Raw genomic sequence first — 18,753 nt, 5'->3', positions numbered from 1 at the left:
GGGCTCCTCCTGCCCTGTGGCGAGGGCTTTCTCATGCCAAGATTGAAACCCCTGGTTTCCAGGCTAAGACCTAGGGCCCAGAACCAGCCCAGCTGACCTTCCTGGCCTGGCTGCAGGGCCCAGGGAAGCTGGACCCTGGGGGTGGGACTGGGACCCTCCCGCCTCCCCCAGCCCCACCCACTCTCTGCTGGCTTTGCTGCCGGCGAGTGGCCAGCCCGGCCGCCCCACACCCTCCAGCAGCTGGTGGGCGACCCTCCCGGCAGCAGGACTTGCCTGGCTGGGCCGGCCACACCTGCTGCAGCAGCTGGCTCAAAATCCCCAAATCCTGGCAAGCTGCCCGCCTGGCCCCGCACCGGCCAGGCCAGCGCATCCTTGGCCCGTAGGGTCTGCCTGTCCTTTGCTGAACCGGCTGTTGGGGACCGTGGCCAGGTGGGCAGGCGGACAGCACCCCAGCCTGGAGACACCAGGGCTGCTCACACGCCAGGCTGCACTGTCTCAGCCCTTTGTGTGTGTGGGTGGGGGTGGTACCCCGCCTGGGCTCTGCTGGAGCAATTCAGATGAGAGTCTGTAGGCTTTTCAGGAGAAAGAAAAACAGAGACATGGGTGCTGGGGTCTGACCCTCACCCCACCTCCTCGGGCAGGGGAGAAAGCAGGGTGTCATTCTTCTGAGGGCAGGCGGCCGCTGGACAGGCCCAGCCCCCCTGCCCCGGCCAGCCTGCCCCAGGCCCGTCAACCCCCTCAGTGTCCATCTCCGGCTCATCCTCACTGGGACCCTCGGGCCAGTGGCAGCCTGGGTAGGCCAGGAGGGTGTGCAGGCCAGGAGGGTGTGCAGGCCAGGAGGGTGTGCAGGCCAGGAGGGTGGGCAGCACCAGGAGGGTGGGCAGGACCAGGAGGAGCGGGGCTCAGCTGCCACAGGGGCCCTCCAAGCCGTCACCCAACCCTGGCCTGAGTTTGCCACTTGATACCTGGCCACTTGGCTGCTCCCAGGCCTTGGGGGAGGCCGGGTCCCCGGCTGCCGGATGCTGGGAGTCAGAGCCCCAGGAGCAGAGAGGCGGTGGTCGCCGCCCATCCAGGGCCTAGGTGGGGGTGCTGCCAAGGCAGGTGGCGAAACCGCAGCCAGTGCTTCCCCCCGTGGGTGCTCGCTTATCCCCGCCCCCCGGCATTTGCTGAGCACCTACTGTGTGCTGCCGGTCCCTCCGTGCTGAGACAGACCCAGCAAGGGGCCTGCGGAAACTGCCTTGTGCCCAGCACGTGGCTCCTCCCTGGCCCCCCACTGTCTGCGTGCGGGGGCTCCCCAAGCATGCACCCTCCTGGGACCCTGCCCTGCCCAGTCTGCACCTGCTGGGTGCAGGTGGGGCCCCTTGCTCTGCCTGGGGTCAGTGGGAGGGGCTGGGGTGGCTGTGGTCACTAAGCAGGTATTCTGAGGGGAGAGCCTGGGCAGCATCAGATGGTGACATCCTGGGGTCAGCGTCCTGCACTCAGCAAGACAGCAGCCCCTGCGGAGTGCTGAGTGGACAGAGGTGGGGGCTGGCTCGTCCTGTGCCCAAGGCTGGGTGGGAGAGCACTGCAGCCCCGGCCCACCCCAGCTGCCCACCCCAGCCTGGTGCCCACCCCCTGAAAGTCCCCCCTGCTGGCATCTGTAGCCGAGGTAACTGATCCCTGGTGGGGGCCGGGCTGGCCTGGGCTCTGGTCTCTCTTGGCTCCCGAGCCTCCGGCCCAGCTGTTGCTGAGGAGGCTGCGTCTGTCCTCGGGGCCAACAGCTGCAGGCCCGGAAGCGCCCCCCTCCCACATCCCCCAGAGCAGGTGTGTCCCCCACAGCCCAACCCAGCCTGCCAAGGATGGGTCCCAGGGATACGGGGGCCTCCTGCCCTTCTCTGCTCAACTTTTCGGGGCCTGGGCTGGGACTGCTGTTGGAGTCCTCAGTCCTGTGGGTAGCAGACGCCAAGTCCCTGGTGGCCAGCCTGTGGCCAAGTGGGCTGAGCACTCACTGCAGCCCCGACCAAGAGCAGCTGTGCCCCTCAGCCACGCTCACCAGACCCAAAGTGCACGGCCGGGCACACACCCTTCCACCTGCCCCACTGTCCAGGCTCGGCGGGGGCCTCCCCGATGCCACTCCCCTCCCTCCAGGCTCCGACACCCACACTGTCCTCACTGACCTGAGAGCCTGTGTCACAGTGTCCCCAGCGTGGCAGGAGAGGGATGCCTGAGCCATGGCAGCCATTGGTGATCCCGTGTCAGCTGGGTGACAGCTGAACCCCAGGCCAGCCCCTGGTAGCCCACCTGCAGTGCCCCTGGCGGGCATCCAGCCCTGCCTGGCCCAACTCCATGCCATGCTATGAGGCTGATCAATTCCCCAGCAGTCGGTGGCCACAGCGGAGGGTGCCTGAGACTCCAAACTGGGGACCCACCTTGTGGACACCCTCCCTCCTCCACCACAGCTGTGGGTACCATGTCCTCCCTCCTGCCTCCTCTCGCTTATGGGCCTTGACACCCCTCCCCTGCCCTGCCCTCCCTGCTGCCTGCTGGACCCATCACTGCCTTCAGCCCCTGAGTCCTCCTCTGGCCCTGGAACCCTCCCCAGCTTGCTATCAGGGCCCAGCATACCTGCTCCAGGGATGGGGTGCAGCCCCCACCCTGACTAGACCCCGGCACAGGAGACCTCAGGTTAGGGACTCCCCCAGGGAAGTAACTGGAGCCCCCGCCCCATGGTGGAGGGGCCAGGCTCCGGGGGACCTGCCAGGGGTAAGTGCCAGTCAGACTGTGTGCCCGGGACAGCTGCCCTGCTACAGTTGGTTCCTGTCCTGGGCTGAACGGTGTCCCCCAGATTCATATCCACCCAGAACCTCAGCGTGTGACCTTACACGGAGATGGCATCTTTGCAAATTTATTTATTTATTTATTGAGATGGAGTCTTACTCTGTTGCCCTGGCTGGAGTGCAATGGCGTTATCTCAGCTCATTGCAACCTCCGCCTCCCAGGTTCAACTGATTCTCCTGCCTCAGCCTCCTGAGTAGCTGGGATTATAGGCGCCTGCCACCACGCCCGGCTATTTTTTGTATTTTTAGTAGAGACAGGGTTTCGCCATGTTGGCCGGGCTGGTCTTGAACTCCTGACCTCAGGTGATCTGCCTGCCTCAGCCTCCCAAAGTGCTGGGATTACAGGCATGAGCCACCGAGCCTGGCCATTTTTGCAAATTTAATCAGCTAAGATGAGGTCATGCAGGATTACGGTGAAAGGGTCCTTGTGAGAAAAGGAAAAGAGGAGAATGGGTAGGGCTTCCAGGGAGGTGCCGGGCCCGGGGACGTCAGGGCCCAGGGGGCCAACAGGCCCTGGTCATGCTCTCATGGCAGAGTCAGAGAAGATGACGAGGCCATGGCCTCTGCACCCCCAACATCCAAATCCCCGCCCCCACGCCCAGACCCCGGGGGGCCGATCTCTGGTGCAGAGAGGTGTCTCCCCAGGAAAGCGCAGAGGGGGTCGGCGTGGCTCCCAGGTGTGGGGAGGGCGGCACATCCGAGACGTGGATGCAGGACCCAGAGCGGGAGCTCTGGGGAAGCAGGAAGACCCCTGTTCCTCCTGGGGCAGGGCCGCCCATCGGCCAGGTGGTCTGGGCACAGAAGTGGGTGGGCCTGGTGGGCCCTGATGCAAAGGGTTGGAGGGAGTGCAGGGCTCGATTAGCGATGCCTGCCCTGGGCATACGGAGGAGTGGGGTCCTATGTGCCATGGCCAGCTGAGAGGGAGAAGGCCTTGCCGGGAAACCCTCAAAGGTCCTCCGCAGCCAGCCCGAGCTGAGGTTGCACAGGGGCCTCAGAGCCAGCACCAGGCCAGTCTCAGACGTCGGGATCAGAAGGGGTTGCAGGGCCTGGTCCCCAAGACCTGTGTCTCCCACTGACGGCCTGGCAGCTGGGAAAGAGAAGGGAGAAACCCCCTCCCCAACTTCCCCAGCCTGGTCCCCTCCCGACCCCAGGGACAGAGCCCCGGGCCAGACGTGAATCAGTGGCCCCACCAAACCTCCTACATCTGAGTCTGCGACTCCTCCCGCCCACCCCGCACCAGATCCATCAGCCACCCCTGCTCCAGCGACGGACACCTTGCCGACACCGGGCTTCGGGGCCCCTGCGAAGTGCTAAGTGGCTTTGCGCAGGTGATTCATCTGGGCCCATTTCTCCCAGGGTCTTCAAGCATCTGATGATTTTATTTGGATGGAGCACTCTGCAGGCCGTCTGCATTTCCCATCTCAGGAACCTTTCACTTCTGAGAGCGACGGGAGAGGTGGATGTTTACTTTATCGCTTTTCCCTGTGCAGGAGTTTAATAACTTAGCAGCCGGGCCGAGGCGGCGACGCGTAGGGCCGTTTGTGTCTCCGGAATTCTCTTCTTTTCCAGGCCCCATGTGTACGCGCCGGCTGGCTGCGGATCGTGTTTTCCCTCGAAAGAAGTGGTTTTGCTATTAAGTTCAGTGTTTCGTCTAGATCGTTCTACCAGCCCTCGCTGCTGGGCTCAGCTGCCCGGGGATAGCGGCTGCTCCTGCCGGGTCGGCCCCGAAACGCCTGTCTGAGGCTCAGCTCAGGTGTCCAGGCCAGTGCTCGGGGCAGGGCACTCCCAGACAAAGCCTGAGCCTACGCCGGCCCCACAGGCATCCCACCTGCCCCAGGGGCCGACCCCCGGCCGGCTGCCACAGCTCCCTGGTCAGCGAGGCTCACTCTGGCCAGCTGGCACCCTAAGGCTCTGAAGAAGAGCGAGCACCTGTTAAGCACCGACTGTCTGCTGCTCGTGGACTCGCCTTCTCTCTAAACGGGACGTTCCTGGCCTTCTCCTTGCAGAGGGCGAGGTGTTGAGAGCTGGTGTTTATTTATCAAGTCCTGGTGCATTCCCAGGCCCCAGACGGCGTTGAAGGCACTGCTCGGAGGCACCGTCCTGTTCTCTGCACCACCCTGGGGGCGAAGGTGTGCGTGTCCCATTCCTTAGGTGAGGAAAATGAGGCCTGGGGAGCTGAGCGCCTGCCCGCAGGCCCAGAGATGGCAGTTCGGCCCATGGCAGCCTGGCCGTCACCGGGAATCATGGCCCTGCCCTGCCCTGCCCTGTCCTGCACTCCCTCTGAGAGTCCCGGGTCTCCCCCGGCGCTGGGCAGGCCTGTCACTCTTCAGCAGCAGCTTCAGCAGAAGAGCAGAGTCTCCACCGGGCCTCCCCAGGGCTGCCTCCAGGGGTAGGATCTGAGCTCCCAGGGGCCCTCGGGGGGCCACTCCCCCAGCTGTGCTTCCTCCCTGCAGGATGGGGACAGGGGCCCAGCACAGCACCCAGTGGGAGGCTGCTTCGACAGCTCAGGGCACGGCAGGGTCCCCACACGCATGGGCTGCAGGGTGGCTGCTCCCAGAGCTGCTGGGCCAGGCAGAGATGAAGGGGCAGTGAGGCCAGCCCTTGAGGGTGGGGGCGGCCACTGTTCATGTCCTCACTGGCCCCCCTTCCTGTCACTTGAGGTGGCCGGAGATCTGGGGACAAGTGCCCGAGCCCCCCGCCCCACTGACCACAGTGTCTCCCAGCGGCCCCTGGGGCTGGACTTGGCCCAGGTCCACAGGGCAGGTCTGTGGGAGTCGCAAGCCGTGCAGGGCAGGAGGGGCGGGCCGGAGTGTTGCATTCATGGGTCTGAGGGGCCCAGGATGGGACCGTCCCTGTCTCAGGGTCCCCCACCTGCCAGCCCAGCGCCATGCTGCCCAAGCACCATCCAAGTGGGTCCTGAAACCAGCAGCCAGGGCCACCCCCCAGTGCTGGCTCTGTGACCTCCAGGGCAGGGGTCCTTAACTTCGTGTAGCCTGGCGGTGACCCTGTGAGTCACACTCAGGACACTGGGCGCTGCGCTGATCCTGGGGGCACTTGGTGTCCCTCTCTCCCCTGCTGAGCAGCCCCGGATCGGCCCGGCCTTGCCCCTGCCCAGGTCCCCAGGGCCGAGCAGAGGCTCTGTGAGGCCGGCAGAGTGGATGGCGGGGCTTCTGGGACCTGGTACATTCGGAGGACCCAGGCTGGCAGCGGTGCAGCAGGCGGCCGAGGAGGGCGGGGTGGCCCGGGCATCTCTGGCTCTGTTGACTCTCCCAGGGGTGAGGGTTCATCGGGGAACACAATGGAGCTGCCCCCTTTGTCTCGTAAGACAGCAGCAGCTGCGGCCTGCCCTGAGAACTCCGAGGGCACCGAGCCCCAGGCGGTGTGGACCAAGGGTAACTGCCTGAGGCTGCTGAGCCCCGGGGGTGGGGATGGGCTCCCGGCTCCTCAGGCCCCACCTTCTGACCTGGGCCTGCAGTCCAGGGCCGGACACACGCGTTCAGGAAGTGTCCACGTGCAGGCCCCGTCCACCCTCGGCACTGCCCGCACCCACGGCCCACCTGGGGCACCAGCCCTGTGTCCCGCAGTTCCGCCCCACCCGTCAGCCCCAGATGCAGGTTCCCAGGCAGAGGGGCAGGAGGATCCTGTGGCCCCAGCCCGCCTCCCCGGCCCAGCCCCGCCCAGCCCGCCCCTGTGAGTGCGGGACTCCGCCTCCTCTGCTGCCCGGCCCCTCCCCCGACGTGTGCTTGCAGCTGCGCCGGCTCCGGCTCCGAGGAAATCCTTGGCTTTGCACAGGCCCTGGGGACTCGGAGTGCGCCTGGAACAGCCGGGAGGGAGCGCAGCTGGGGAGGCAGGGCGGGGCTGCTCTCCCACCCTGGATGGGACCTGGCTGGGGGCATGGTTTTTAAGGGGGGCAGGGCAGGAGCTGCTCCCCAGGGACCCCCACTAGGAGAACTGCACCCCTGAGCTCAGGGATCTGCCCTCCACCCACCAAAGGGACCTGGTCATGGGGCCTGTGTCACCATCCACAGGTGACTTCTCACCCTGCACAGGGCCCCAGGCCCCCCAACCTAGGGGTGAGTGTTCCCACCTTCCCCTTGAAGGAAACGCCCCGTCTGGAATTGTCACTGAGCCACCTTTGCTACTCAGGGTTCAGGGCACAGCCAGAGACAGAGGGAGGAGGTGGGGTGGGAGAAGTCAGTGTGGCCCCTCCCCCAGCTGCCCTGGAGCCATCCTTGGGGCCTGTGAGGCCGTGGTCAGCTGGGGCCTCGAGGTCAAGAACCGTGTGCCGGAGAGCTGGACGAGGGGCAAACCCCTGCCCAGACACCCCAGCGGGTCCCGCTGCTCAAAGGTGTCTTCCAGGAGCCCCTAGCCGCGGCACAGGCCGGACACGCTGCCCTGATGGGAGAGGGCCCTGTCTTTGGTCCCCGTGGAGGAGCCACTGCCTGAGTGGCCCCACAGTGGGCAGAGACTCTGCCAGGCCAGAGTGCCCCGAGGCTTGACCTGTGCCACACAAGCCTGGGCGCCCAGGAGCAGGGGCGGGAAGGAGGTCGCCTCTGAGCTCTCCCTGAGCGCCTCCCACCCAGGGTCCACACAAAACCTCGAGGGCCTCTGAGGTGAACCACACAAACACCAGTGTCCCCATTCAACTAAAACCCACGGGTCGGGGCGGTGGCTTACGCCTGTCATCCCAGCACTTTGGGAGGCTGACGTGGGAGGATCACTTGAGCCTAGGAGTTCAAGATCAGCATGGGCAACATAGGGAAACCCCGTCTATACCAAAAAAAGCCAGGATCAGTGGTGTGTGCCTGTATTCCCAGCTCCTTGGCAGGCTGAGGCAGGAAGATGGCTTGAGCCTGCAAGTCTGAGGCTGCAGTGAGCTATGATCATACCACTGCACTGTAGCCTGGGCGACAGAGCGAGACCCCATCTCAAAAAAATAAAATAAAATACATTTTAAAAATCAGTCATGAATTTGAGGGATGGCTTCAGGCATGGCTGGATCCAGGCACTTGGCTCTCCCGCCTGTCCCACTGCTCAGCTTGGCTTCTCTATGCCTTCGCTGTCCCACGGACAGGGCCTCCCCGATGCACTGAGCTTCCCCGGGAAAGAGGCCCCATCTCTCCTGCCCAGCTCTGGGGCAGCTCAGTTCTCCCTGGAGCAGGACAGTGCCTGGGATGGCTTGAGCATTTGCAACGCACTTCCTGCCACACCCTGGCCACGTGGAGGCCTGGAGGGGACAGTGGCTCCTGGACCCCCAGACCAGCCACCGCTCAGCCTCAGGCTGCCCGAGACACCCTAGGGAGGTGGCCTCTGGCACGGAACTCCTGCTCTGGAAAACCCCCACCCTCAGGCAGGCAGACCACCCTCTCCCAAGGGGAGGCCGGGGCAGGAACCACAGAGGGTGGGGGCAGCAGCCACCGTCCCTGTGGCTGAGGGTGGGTGGGGCCAGCCTGGCCGGCTCCGTGATCCTCAGTCAGGGCAGCCGCCTCACACAGTGGGGCTCTGAGCCCGGGGTGGGCCGAGAGGCGCTGCCCGCCACCCGCTGCCCGCCGGCTCACAAGGGCCCATTGTGCGGCTGTGGCTGTGGGCAGCAGGTGGCTGCCCGGTCCCACACGGGGAGGCCCTGCCACCAGCCGCGCGGGCGGAGGAGGGCACCGCGGGCACGGTGGGGGGAGCACGGGGGCCAGGGTGGGGCCCAGGCACAGCCCAGAGCCAGGGGCTGTGGCATGAAGGCGTCTATTCTCCGGTCCCAGCCCCGCCTGCTCCGCCGTGGCTGGGGGCTGCAGCCTGGACAGCTGTGGTGAGGCGGCCCCTGCCCACCACGGGCCCCAGGCCAGGGTCTGGCTGCACTCGGATGTGGCATCGCTGTGGCTGAGCAGTGGCTGGGCTGGGCACGGAGGGCTGGTTCAGAGCACAGCAATCCTGGTGGCTTCCTGGAGGTGGAGGAAGCAGGAAGAGCCAGACCACGGGCCCAGGAGCAGGGCGGGAGCGGGAGAGTTCACGCTGGGGCGGCCCGAACCTACCACCCCGCCGTGCTGGGTGACTCCTGGGTAACCTCCACACCACTGGCTGCCTGCAGCCTCGCGCTGCTGACGGCCCTGCTGTGTGCCTCAGTCTCCCCATCTGTGGCCAGGAGTGGGTGGCAGAACCTGTTAGCAGCTGAGAGGATAACATGGGCCACCCCTCCATGGTCACTCCTCTCAGAGCCCAGTCACAAGCTGGAACTACGCCCAGCACACGCCTGCCCTCCCGGCTCCCCTGGGCCACCCAGCCCTCCCCGAGCTGCCCTCCTCAGCTAGCTGGGTCCCAGCAGCCCCTCTTCCGGCCCCTGCCCGAGACCCACCCCACCCCACCCCGAGTGGTGCAGAGTGGCCGCCCGGGGCCCTGGGCAGCCCGCTCTGGCAAAGGCGGGGGACCCCGCTTGCCGGCTGGGAACACACGTAGAGGCAGATGCCAAGTCCCCCGGACCCCTCCCTGCAGCAGTGTTAGGTACGAACAGCTGGCTGGACGGCCCGGCAACAAGACGCTGGACCCCTTTCATTCACGATGGGGCCCAGGGCCAGGACACTCCTCCCACGTCCCCAGCAGACCGGGAGCACCTGGAGGGCAGGCCATGCCCCTCCCTCCCCACCCGGCCTGGGCTTCGGTGCTGGTGCAGCTGCTCCCCTGAGCAAGAGGCTGTCCCGGTTAGTGCTGTGTCCCTCGCTGTCATCAGGAGGTGACAAAAACTCGGCCCCCACCACAGGGTCTGTGTCAGAATGAAGCTCGGCTGGGCCTGGCGCTCCCTGGGCCCCCAGAGCAGGGTGGATGCGAAATCGTCATGGCGGCAGCGGCCCAGCCTTCGGCAGCTCGGTGCCTACAGGGGCACAGGGCCAGGGTGGAGCGGACTGTGTCTGTGGAGGGCCGGCCAGCAGCACTCTGGACCCAGCGCCGGCCGTGGCGGCTCCTCTCTGGCCCTGTGTGAGCTTCCAGCCACTCCCCAGGCCTCAGCGCTGCCACATCTGGGTGGGACCAGGTCTGGACCCCACCGTCGGCGGGGCCCCTCAGCACAGCTGTGAAGCTGCAGCCCCAGCCACGGCCACGGCCAAGCGGGCAGGGCTGAGCAGGGAGCACAGGCGCCTTCAGGCTGCAGTCCCTGGCTCTGGCCCTCACTTTCCATTCTGAGCAGAGCAATCCAGGCGGCTTCCCGGAGGTGGTGAGGAGCCTTGGGAGGCTGACCAGAGCCCAGGGGGCCCCACTTAGCAGACGAGGAAGCTGAGGCCCAGCCCTCGCCTGCAGTGCGGACGCCCTGGCCCACCCAGGCCCCTCTGTCCCTCCCTGGAGAGGCTTCTGTGCCTCCCAGCTGCCTGGCAGGGCAGGGTCTACGCAGGGCACCCACAGTCCAGTGGCCGGGAGAGGCCGGAAGCCTTGGCTCTGAAAGCGAACCCCGCCCCTCCAGGCTCCTCCCGGCCCCACCCAGCCCTGGGCCTGGGAGGCCAAAGAGGCCACCTGGGGCTGGCGGCTCCGCTCGGGGCTGTGAGCACCATGCCAGCTGTGGGGCTGTCCGGGGGCTTGGGGAAGCCGGTGTTAGGGGGTGCAGCTCTAGGTGACTGAGAACACTCAGCCCGACGACGCGCGGACGCCCCTCGCGGAGCCACAGGCAGTGCCTGACGCCACTGGGCGCCGGAAAGGGACGTGTAATTTACCGATGCCGGAACCAGGCTCCGGGCCACGTGAGGGCTTCCTCCAGCACCAGCTCAGGGCCACCTCCTCCGGGAAGCCCTCCTGAGGCCTCTCCCTCTCCTCCCTGGGCTCCCAGAGGAGCCTTGGAGCAAGGAGGCCAAGGGAGAGGAAGAGGCCCGGAGCTGTCCTGGCCCCACCTCGGCCCCCCAGGCGGCCCCGGGCGGGTGTCCCTGTGCTGGGGACACTCTCGTTTCTGGGCCGCATGGGGCAGGATGAGCTTCTGGGCAGTGCCGCCCGGGAGACCCCGCTGAGCTTCTGGGCAGTGCCGCGTGACTCCCGGCAAGCGGCAACCCCCTCTTCCCCTTCCCAGGCGCCAGCAGGCCGGCCAGGGGCGTGGGGGCGGGAAGGGGGTGGGGCAGGGGAGCGAGGAGCCCAGGGGTCCCAGGAGGAGGGCGGGGGGCTCCCTGCCCGTGGTTGCCTGGCGTCTGTCATGATGAGGCCGTGCTGCTAGAACGTGGCACAAATCGATTCTCCCCCAATTTCTTCCAGGGCCAATCTGGAGACGGATCAGACCAGGAATTCCACAGCCGGCAGAGCGGAGCCAGGCTTAATGCCGAGAAAACCGGCGCCCCCGCCGCCGCCGGCCCAGGGCCCCACTCACAGCCGGCGCCGCCTCCCGAACACCCTGATGCCCCGCTGGGGCCCTGAGGGTCCCCGCCTGCCTGGACCACAGCAAAGCGGCTGAAGTGGCCAACTGCCCACTGCCCCCAGGCCTGGGAGAGGCGGGAGCTGGGCCTGGCGGGGACCCCGCTGTCCATTTAGGACAGGGCTCCCCCAGGTCTGTGGACAGCTGCCCAGAGCTCCCTGCCGGCCGGCTTCGGGCTACGGAGGGTACCAAGCCATCGCTTGTCCCTGACTGTCTTCCTGCACGGTCCCTAAGACCCACCCGAGGGGTCCCTGACCACCCCCCAGAACGGCCCCAAGGCTGACCCGAGGGGTCCCTGACCACCCCCCGGAACGGCCCCAAGGCTGACCCGAGGGGTCCCTGACCACCCCCCGGAACGGCCCCAAGGCTGACCCGAGGGGTCCCTGACCACCCCCCTGGAACGGCCCCAAGGCTGACCCGAGGGGTCCCTGACCACCCCCCTGGAACGGCCCCAAGGCTGACCCGAGGGGTCCCTGACCACCCCCCTGGAACGGCCCCAAGGCTGACCCGAGGGGTCCCTGACCACCCCCCTGGAACGGCCCCAAGGCTGACCCGAGGGGTCCCTGACCACCCCCCTGGAACGGCCCCAAGGCTGACCCGAGGGGTCCCTGACCACCCCCCTGGAACGGCCCCAAGGCTGACCCGAGGGGTCCCTGACCACCCCCCTGGAACGGCCCCAAGGCTGACCCGAGGGGTCCCTGACCACCCCCCAGAACGGCCCCAAGGCTGACCCGAGGGGTCCCTGACCGCCCCCCTGCACGGCCCCGGTCCTCCTGCTGCTCTCAGCCGCCCGTGCTCATGCGCAGTTTTGCGAACTCAGCATCAGGCACATCCTGTTTTGTGCTGAGCCAGCTCCAGGCGTCCCCTCAGGCTGTGAGCTGCAGACCTTCCAGGCAGCTCAGCCAGGTGTCCTCCAGTTCCGTGAAAGGCTCTGCTGGCCGAGGGGCGGGCAGAGGGTTGGGCTTTCCAGGGAGGCAAGGACCGGGCATCCTGGGGCCGTGGGGGCAAACGTGGCCTGGGCCAGGGTCTGACCCCCAAGTGCTGACTGGGGAGCTGCAGGCTCTGGAGCTGGAGCAGCACCGGGAAGGGGCGGGATGGGGATGGGCCGGCCTGGACTTCGGTGGATAAACCTTCCTCCCACTGTGGCACCGTCGATGCAGAAGGGAGGGTCCTCCCCACAGTGCTCTGGCTCGAGGCAGCCACGTGGCGAGGTCCTAGTGTCCACGCCACCCGCCCCACCCCTTGAAGGCTTTCTCCTTGGTGGGCTGGCCCTGCCTGCTTCTCTGCAGCCCCCACCTCCCTCCCAGCTCCAGCGCCACCGGTAGTGTCCACGCAATGCCCATTCCTGCTGCGGGACCGTTTTAGTTGCTATTCCTGGAATTCCTCCACCCTAGATCTTCGCTCGTGAACTCCATCTCATCCATCAGACCCAGACAAAAAGATCACTTCCTCCAAGAAGCCCTCCCTGACAGCCACCTGTGCCTACATCGTGTGGTTTTCTCAGTAGTGCCTGTCCCTCACAAAAATGACCTGGCGTGTGTTTTTGCCGCATTGTCAATCCCTCCCTGCCTTCCAGTGTGTACTGCTCTTAAGCTCCACCCACCATGGCCCATCCTGGTGCCTGACACCCTGGAGGCATGCAGTGAGTGTCTGCCTGCAAAGCAGCAAATGAGTGATTATTAGAACTCCCACCCCGGCCAAAACTGAAAGTAGAGAAGCAGCCCTCAGGTTACACGATCCCCCACATCTGGCACTCAATTCTTTTCAGGGAATTAACCAGCTGTTTTGGGGTCACGCATACCCAGGCTGATTACAGCCATTTTTGTAGGTTGATTTGAGTTGATGGAACAGAACAGAGAGTTCAGTAATGGACCAAGCAGATGGGGCAGTTGGCGCACTGGGGCTCGGTGGAGGAGGGGACAGACCCCACAGTGACCACACCATGGGGATGACTTTCTGTCCGTCACATACACATAGAGCTAGATCCCTACCTCACACCAAGCACAGATGGAGTTTTGCTCTTGTTCACCAGGCTGGAGTGCAATGATGCCATCTTGGCTCACTGCAACCTCAGCCTCCTGGATTCAAGGGATTCTCCTGCCCCAGCCTACTGAGTAACTGGGACTAGTCACGCCTGGCTAATTTTTTGTTGTTGTTGTTGGTAGAGATGGGGTCTGCCTATGTTGCCAGGCTGGCCTCAAAATCCTAGGCCCAAGTGATCCCAGGGTGGTCCATGAAGCAAGTGTGCCCTAGGCCTGGCACCCAGGGCAGAGGTATCCCAGGCCTTGCCCTTCCCTGCTGGAGCTCCCAGGCTGCCAGGGGATGGGGAACCAGGACAGAGCCCAGGAAAGAAGGCCTCAGAGGATGAGGATCCAGTGATAACGAGAGGGGGACCCTTGGGGAAAAGTGGGAGCTTGGGAGGTGTCAGGGGAAGGTGGGAGCTGGGGGTCTGGGGAGGAGGTGGGAGCTGAGAGTCTCAAGGGAAGAAGGTGTGAGCTGGGGGTCTTGGGGAGGAGGTGGGAGCTGGGGGTCTGGGATGAGGTATGAGCTGGGGGTCTGGGAGGAGGTGTGAGCTGGGGGTCTGGGAGGAGGTGTGAGCTGGGGGTCTGGCAGGAGGTGGGAGCTGGGGGTCTGGGAGGTGGGAGCTGGGGGTCTGGGAGGAGGTGTGAGCTGGGGGTCTCGGGGAGGAGGTGTGAGCTGGGGGTCTCGGGGAGGAGATGTGAGCTGGGGGTCTGGGAGGACGTGTGAGCTGGGGGTCTCGGAGGAGGTGTGAGCTAGGGGTCTGGGAGGAGGTGTGAGCTGGGGGTCTGGGAGCAGGTGGGAGCTGGGGGTCTCGGGGAGGAGGTGTGAGCTGGGGGTCTCGGGGAGGAGGTGTGAGCTGGGGGTCTCAGGGAGGAGGTGTGAGCTGGGGGTCTCAGGGAGGAGGTGTGAGCTGGGGGTCTGGGAGGAGGTGTGAGCTGGGGGTCTGGGAGGAGGTGGGAGCTGGGGGTCTGGGAGGAGATGGGAGCTGGGGGTCAGGAGGAGGAGGTGTGAGCTGGGGGTCTGGGGAGGACGTGGGAGCTGGGGGTCTGGGCAGAGGAGGGTCACAGAAGCAGGACATGACTTGGGACAGGGCAGAGGCTTGTGCAGGCACAGGGCTGGGAGCCGGGCCACATTCCCTCCTTGGTGTGGGGTGAGGGGCACCCCAGCTTGGGGACAGGGGCGCTGGCACTCAGGCAGCCCCGACGTTGTCCTGGGTTCACTGTGCTGGGGCGGGGGCTCCTACTGGGGCTCTGTGGTCCCACAGCCAAAGCCCCGCTTTCCTAATCACACGTTGGGGCTTCGGCAGGAACCTCAGCAGGACCTCGGGGGGACCTCGGCAGGAACCTCGGTGGGGACCTCGGTGGGGAGCTTGGCGGGGACCTCGGGGGGAACCTCGGGGGGGGACCTCGGGGGGAACCTCGGGGGGAACCTCGGCGGGGACCTCGGTGGGGACCTCGGGCAGAACTTCGGGGAGAACCTCGGCGGGAACCTTGGCGGGGACCCTGGCGGGAACCTCGGGGGGAACCTTGAGGGGGGATCCTCGGCGGGGAGCCTCGGCGGGAACCTCGGGGGGGATCCTCTGGGGGGAACCTCAGAGCCGAACCTTGGGGGGCCCTCAGGGGGGAACTTCGGGGGGGACCTCGGCGTGAACCTCAGCGGGGCCAGGCTTGTGGCAACTTGGGCCTGGCTGTTCTCTTGGAAGGACGTTTCCAGCCTCTGGGCCCCAGAAGACCCTGGCACGTCCACTGCCCTCACTGGAATGGGACCACCTCCACCTCCCGGGGCCCCAAGGCCCGGGTCCCGGGCACAGGTCGCCTCTTTCCTCCTCAACGTTTTTTTTTTGTTTGTTTAGTTTTTTGTTTGTTTTTTTGTTTTTTTTGCCCTTAAGACCCAAAGACAGAGGCTTCACCACGTTCAGGTAATGAAACTGGCTTTTGTGAGACTTGCGTCAGACCAGCTGTGTGACTTTGGCTGAGCTACGTAACCTTTCTGAACCTTATCTCTGGGCTCCCGTGAGAACTGAGAGTGAGGAAGGCCCGGGGCCTCACAGGTGAGTGTCTCACCAGGTGTGAGAGCTGCTTCCCGCAAGGTCCAGCCTGCGAGGGTGTGGGCTGCCCAGGGCTCCATGGGGCTTAAGACCCCAGACTCGAAGGCAGCCTGGTTTGAGTCCCGGCTCTGCTGCACTCTGGTCCTGACATGGGGGGACATCACTCGGCCCCTGCCTCAGTTTCCCCATCTGGAAAGGGAGGTGCCAGCCGTAGGTGCTTCAGCAGCCCGTGGTGGGGAAACCTGGACATGGCCCCACCTTGGAGTTTTAGGGGCAGGGAGCAGGATGTCTGGAGAGTTCCATGAAGTTCTGGGACCCAGCAGATCCCCGAGCATGGGCAGGGCTGGAAAGACTGGGACAGGCCCTGGGCAGTTTCAGGGTCCCTGGATGGACGGAGCCTGGAGCCAGGGCAGTCAGCGTGTGCATGTGTGTGTGTGTCCACCTGCGTGTCTCTGCACGTGTGTGCGTATGACTGCCTGGGGGCGGGGACTGAGGGGACGCTAGCTGGGGTTAGCACCCCTTTCCTGCCAGTGATGACAGAGTGGCAGGGCCAGGGGTCCTAGAGAAGGTCCCAGCCCCTGGTTCAGAGGGAACACTGAGACCTAGGTGGGACCAGGCCGGCCCCAGGGATGCAGCCGGGGTGGGCCGGTTCCTTCTCTCCATGCAGGGCTGGGCTGGAGGCACAAGCTTCCAGAAGCGACAAGGAAGTAGTCTGGGACACCTGCCTGCCTCTCGTTCCGCAGCAGGGATGGTGCCACCCCCTCAACCCGGCCTGATACACGCAGAGGACAGACATTCCCAAGCAGCCCATGGCTCTGCCTCCCTCTGAATCTGCCTGGTACCCATTCGAACACTCAAGGCTCTGATAAGGCCTGCACTGACAGGTCCAGCTAGCGCTGCGTAACCTGTATTTCCCCGGGTCATTTGGCTAGAAGCCCTTTATCTGGAAAATCCTGAGGGACCTTCAGAGGACCAGGTTGTAGTTCACACCAAGAAGCAAGCTCCGTGCGGCAGAGCCCAGGGGACTCAGGGCCGTGCCTGGTGCAGTGCAGCCCCCCGGGGGGCTCCGTGAATGAGCGCCTGTGTGAATGGGTGAGTGAGTGGAATTCACAAGTGGAGCATGAAGGCTGAGTGGCTCTTCCGGCCCCAGACGCGGTGCGAACTGCCTGTGTTGCGGGGCCGGAAGCGGCAGGGTAGATTCTGACCGAGGCTGCTTCAATGCCTGGCGCCCCTGAGGACGGGGTCCCAGGAGAACCCCCGGCGTGGGCTGCAGAGCAACTCCCCCGAGAAGCCGCCCGGGAGCTCACAGGCGACCAGGACATCGTCACGCAGGGACAATGCCAGGGTCCGAGCGGGGCAGCTATTGAGGGAACTGCCCTCACCCTTGGTTGAGTAAATGAAAGAACGCTGGTGCGTGTGATGGGCTACGGGGTCAAGCAGACGTGGGGCGCCCCTGAAAGAGCAGCCGGCGACGTGAGGCTTCGTGGAAAGAAGCCCCCAGGAGCCAGGGCTGGAGCAGAAGGCAGGGTGGTGGGAGCGTCAGCCTCTGCTGCTGCCGTGGGCTGAGTGTGTCTCCCCAGAGGTCCCAGCCCTTGGCACCTCCGCATGTGACTGTACTTGAGGACAGGCCGTTAAAGACACAATTCTTTTAAAACGAGGCCTTCCGGGGGCCTAATGCAGCCTCACAGTGCCCTTCCAGGGAGCAGAGGGCTGGAGACGCGCACACAGAGGAGAGGCCTGTGGGGACCTGGGAAGGCGCCATATGTGAACCAGGAGGAGACGGCGGGAGAAGCCCACCCTGGTTCACAGGCTCCAGTGCGGTGAGGGGAGCGATGTCTGCTATGTGAGCTGCCCCGTCTGTGGTATTTTGTTTTGGGTGCTCCCAAATGCAGCTGCTTTAAACAATTGAAGACCTCGCTGTCTCACACGGCCTCTGAGGTCTGAGAATCGAGAAGGGCTTGGCTGGGTGGTGTGGCTTAGGGAGACATTACCATCAAGCTGTCAGCCAGGGCCGAGGTCACCTGAAGGCTGGCCTGGGGCTGGGGGAGCCCTACCTGGGGTCCACCTTGCCCTCTTCCATCAGTGCTGGGAGTCAGGAGGTCTTGGCCCCTACACATGGCCCCTCCATGGCGCTGTCTGGGCCCTCCCGACATGGCTGCTGGCTTCCCCAGGTCAGGAGGCAGAGGCTGAGCCCCCTCACAGCAGTTACCCACTTCATGGGCCCAGGCCTGACCGGGACCGGGACCTTCCTGGCACTACCAGCTCAGGATCTGTCCCTACCTCTGATTTCGGCTTCTTTCAGCCACAGGCCGCAACTGGCAATTACCAAAGACAAACCACAAACAACTGTACGTAATCTCCTGAATCCCCAAAGCGGCACGGGAGGGCTGGCAGTCTCCAGGCGGATCCCGTCCCAGCCGCAGGCTCCTCCTGCCCCCGATGAGCAGCCTGGGGCACCCCCCTCCACCCCACCCCCCACGAGCGGCCCCAGGCACCCCCCTCCACCCCACGGCGTCGGGATTCCTGGCTCCCTCCTGATTTGGGCAACTCTAGGATTCCGGGATCATCCTGGCTGGGAGGCGGCGGGTGCTTCCTTGGAGCGGGCGAGGAGGGAGTGGGGCCTCCTAATCACCAGCGTGCTGAAGACCTGGCTCCAGGACACGGAGGTGGGGGGCAGGGGATACAGGTTACAGGCTCCAGGCTCAGGAGCTGCCGAGCACCATCAGCTGAGCGCTGAGATGAGTCATGGCCGCAGGGCCACTTCCCTGCATGTCTCTGCCCGCTGCTGCCTCGGCTGGCTGCCCACACACGGGGCTCCTGGCCCCTGGGGAGTGACAGCCCCGTCCCAGCTACAGTGTGTCCCCTAAGCTTTGAGGTTCCTAGGTGGGGGCAGGGACTCCCTGACAGAACCCCAGGTAGGATACCCTGGGCAAGAAACCACACTGACCCCTGCGCTGCCCACAGCACACACAAGGAGAGTCCCTTGAGGAGTGGGGGACAGATCAGGGTGGAGCCAGTGTGGGCAGGACCCTACTGGGGGGATGGCAGGTGGGGCCCCACGGGAGCGCTGGACCGCAGGGACATGGGACGGCGTGGGCCGCTCTTGGGTGCAGTTCATTGCCCTGGAAGGGTGCAGTGGGAGAATCACCATCTGGGGGTCTCTGGCTCTGAAGATGGAGCCTCCACCAAGGCCCCTCGGGGGCAGAAACTGCAGAAACCCACATCCAGGACAGGGCACAGTGCCAAGCTCCCCCAGGCAGTGGCCCCTCAGGCCCCTCCCCGGGGAACCCCTCCTTCACAGCACCAAGCTCCCAGGGCTGTGGTCCCTCACGCCCCTCCCCGGGGAACCCCTCCTTCACAGCACCAAGCTCCCCCGGGCGGTGTACCCCACGCCCCTCCCCGGGGAACCCCTCCTTCAGGGATTCCTCAGGCTGGAGGGGGAGGAAGAAGGCTTCCTGGGTCCCTCCCCGCTCCCAGACCCCCAGAGGAGCAGCCACACA

General features: G+C 65.4%; 5 annotated features.

Moving 5' to 3' along the window:
* Positions 6,372-6,666: an enhancer, noted in NCBI's record as "tiled region #13654; K562 Activating DNase matched - State 20:ReprD". NCBI's record gives its function as "activates a minimal TATA promoter and a strong SV40 promoter by Sharpr-MPRA in K562 cells {active_cell/tissue: K562}" and the evidence as "EXISTENCE:reporter gene assay evidence [ECO:0000049][PMID:27701403]".
* Positions 6,372-7,090: a biological region, named in NCBI's record as "Sharpr-MPRA regulatory region 13654".
* Positions 6,476-7,090: an enhancer, noted in NCBI's record as "H3K27ac-H3K4me1 hESC enhancer chr16:1098085-1098699 (GRCh37/hg19 assembly coordinates)". NCBI's record gives its function as "activates a minimal SCP1, AML or CMV promoter by ChIP-STARR-seq in naive H9 embryonic stem cells {active_cell/tissue: H9 hESC(naive)}" and the evidence as "EXISTENCE:reporter gene assay evidence [ECO:0000049][PMID:30033119]".
* Positions 7,091-7,706: an enhancer, noted in NCBI's record as "H3K27ac-H3K4me1 hESC enhancer chr16:1097469-1098084 (GRCh37/hg19 assembly coordinates)". NCBI's record gives its function as "activates a minimal SCP1, AML or CMV promoter by ChIP-STARR-seq in naive H9 embryonic stem cells {active_cell/tissue: H9 hESC(naive)}" and the evidence as "EXISTENCE:reporter gene assay evidence [ECO:0000049][PMID:30033119]".
* Positions 17,386-17,895: an enhancer, noted in NCBI's record as "H3K4me1 hESC enhancer chr16:1087280-1087789 (GRCh37/hg19 assembly coordinates)". NCBI's record gives its function as "activates a minimal SCP1, AML or CMV promoter by ChIP-STARR-seq in primed H9 embryonic stem cells {active_cell/tissue: H9 hESC(primed)}" and the evidence as "EXISTENCE:reporter gene assay evidence [ECO:0000049][PMID:30033119]".

The sequence above is a fragment of the Homo sapiens genome, chromosome 16 (genome assembly GCF_000001405.40).
Source record: "Homo sapiens chromosome 16, GRCh38.p14 Primary Assembly".
In the NCBI taxonomy this organism is placed as follows: domain Eukaryota; kingdom Metazoa; phylum Chordata; class Mammalia; order Primates; family Hominidae; genus Homo; species Homo sapiens.
This window is presented reverse-complemented; position numbering and strand designations above follow the sequence as displayed.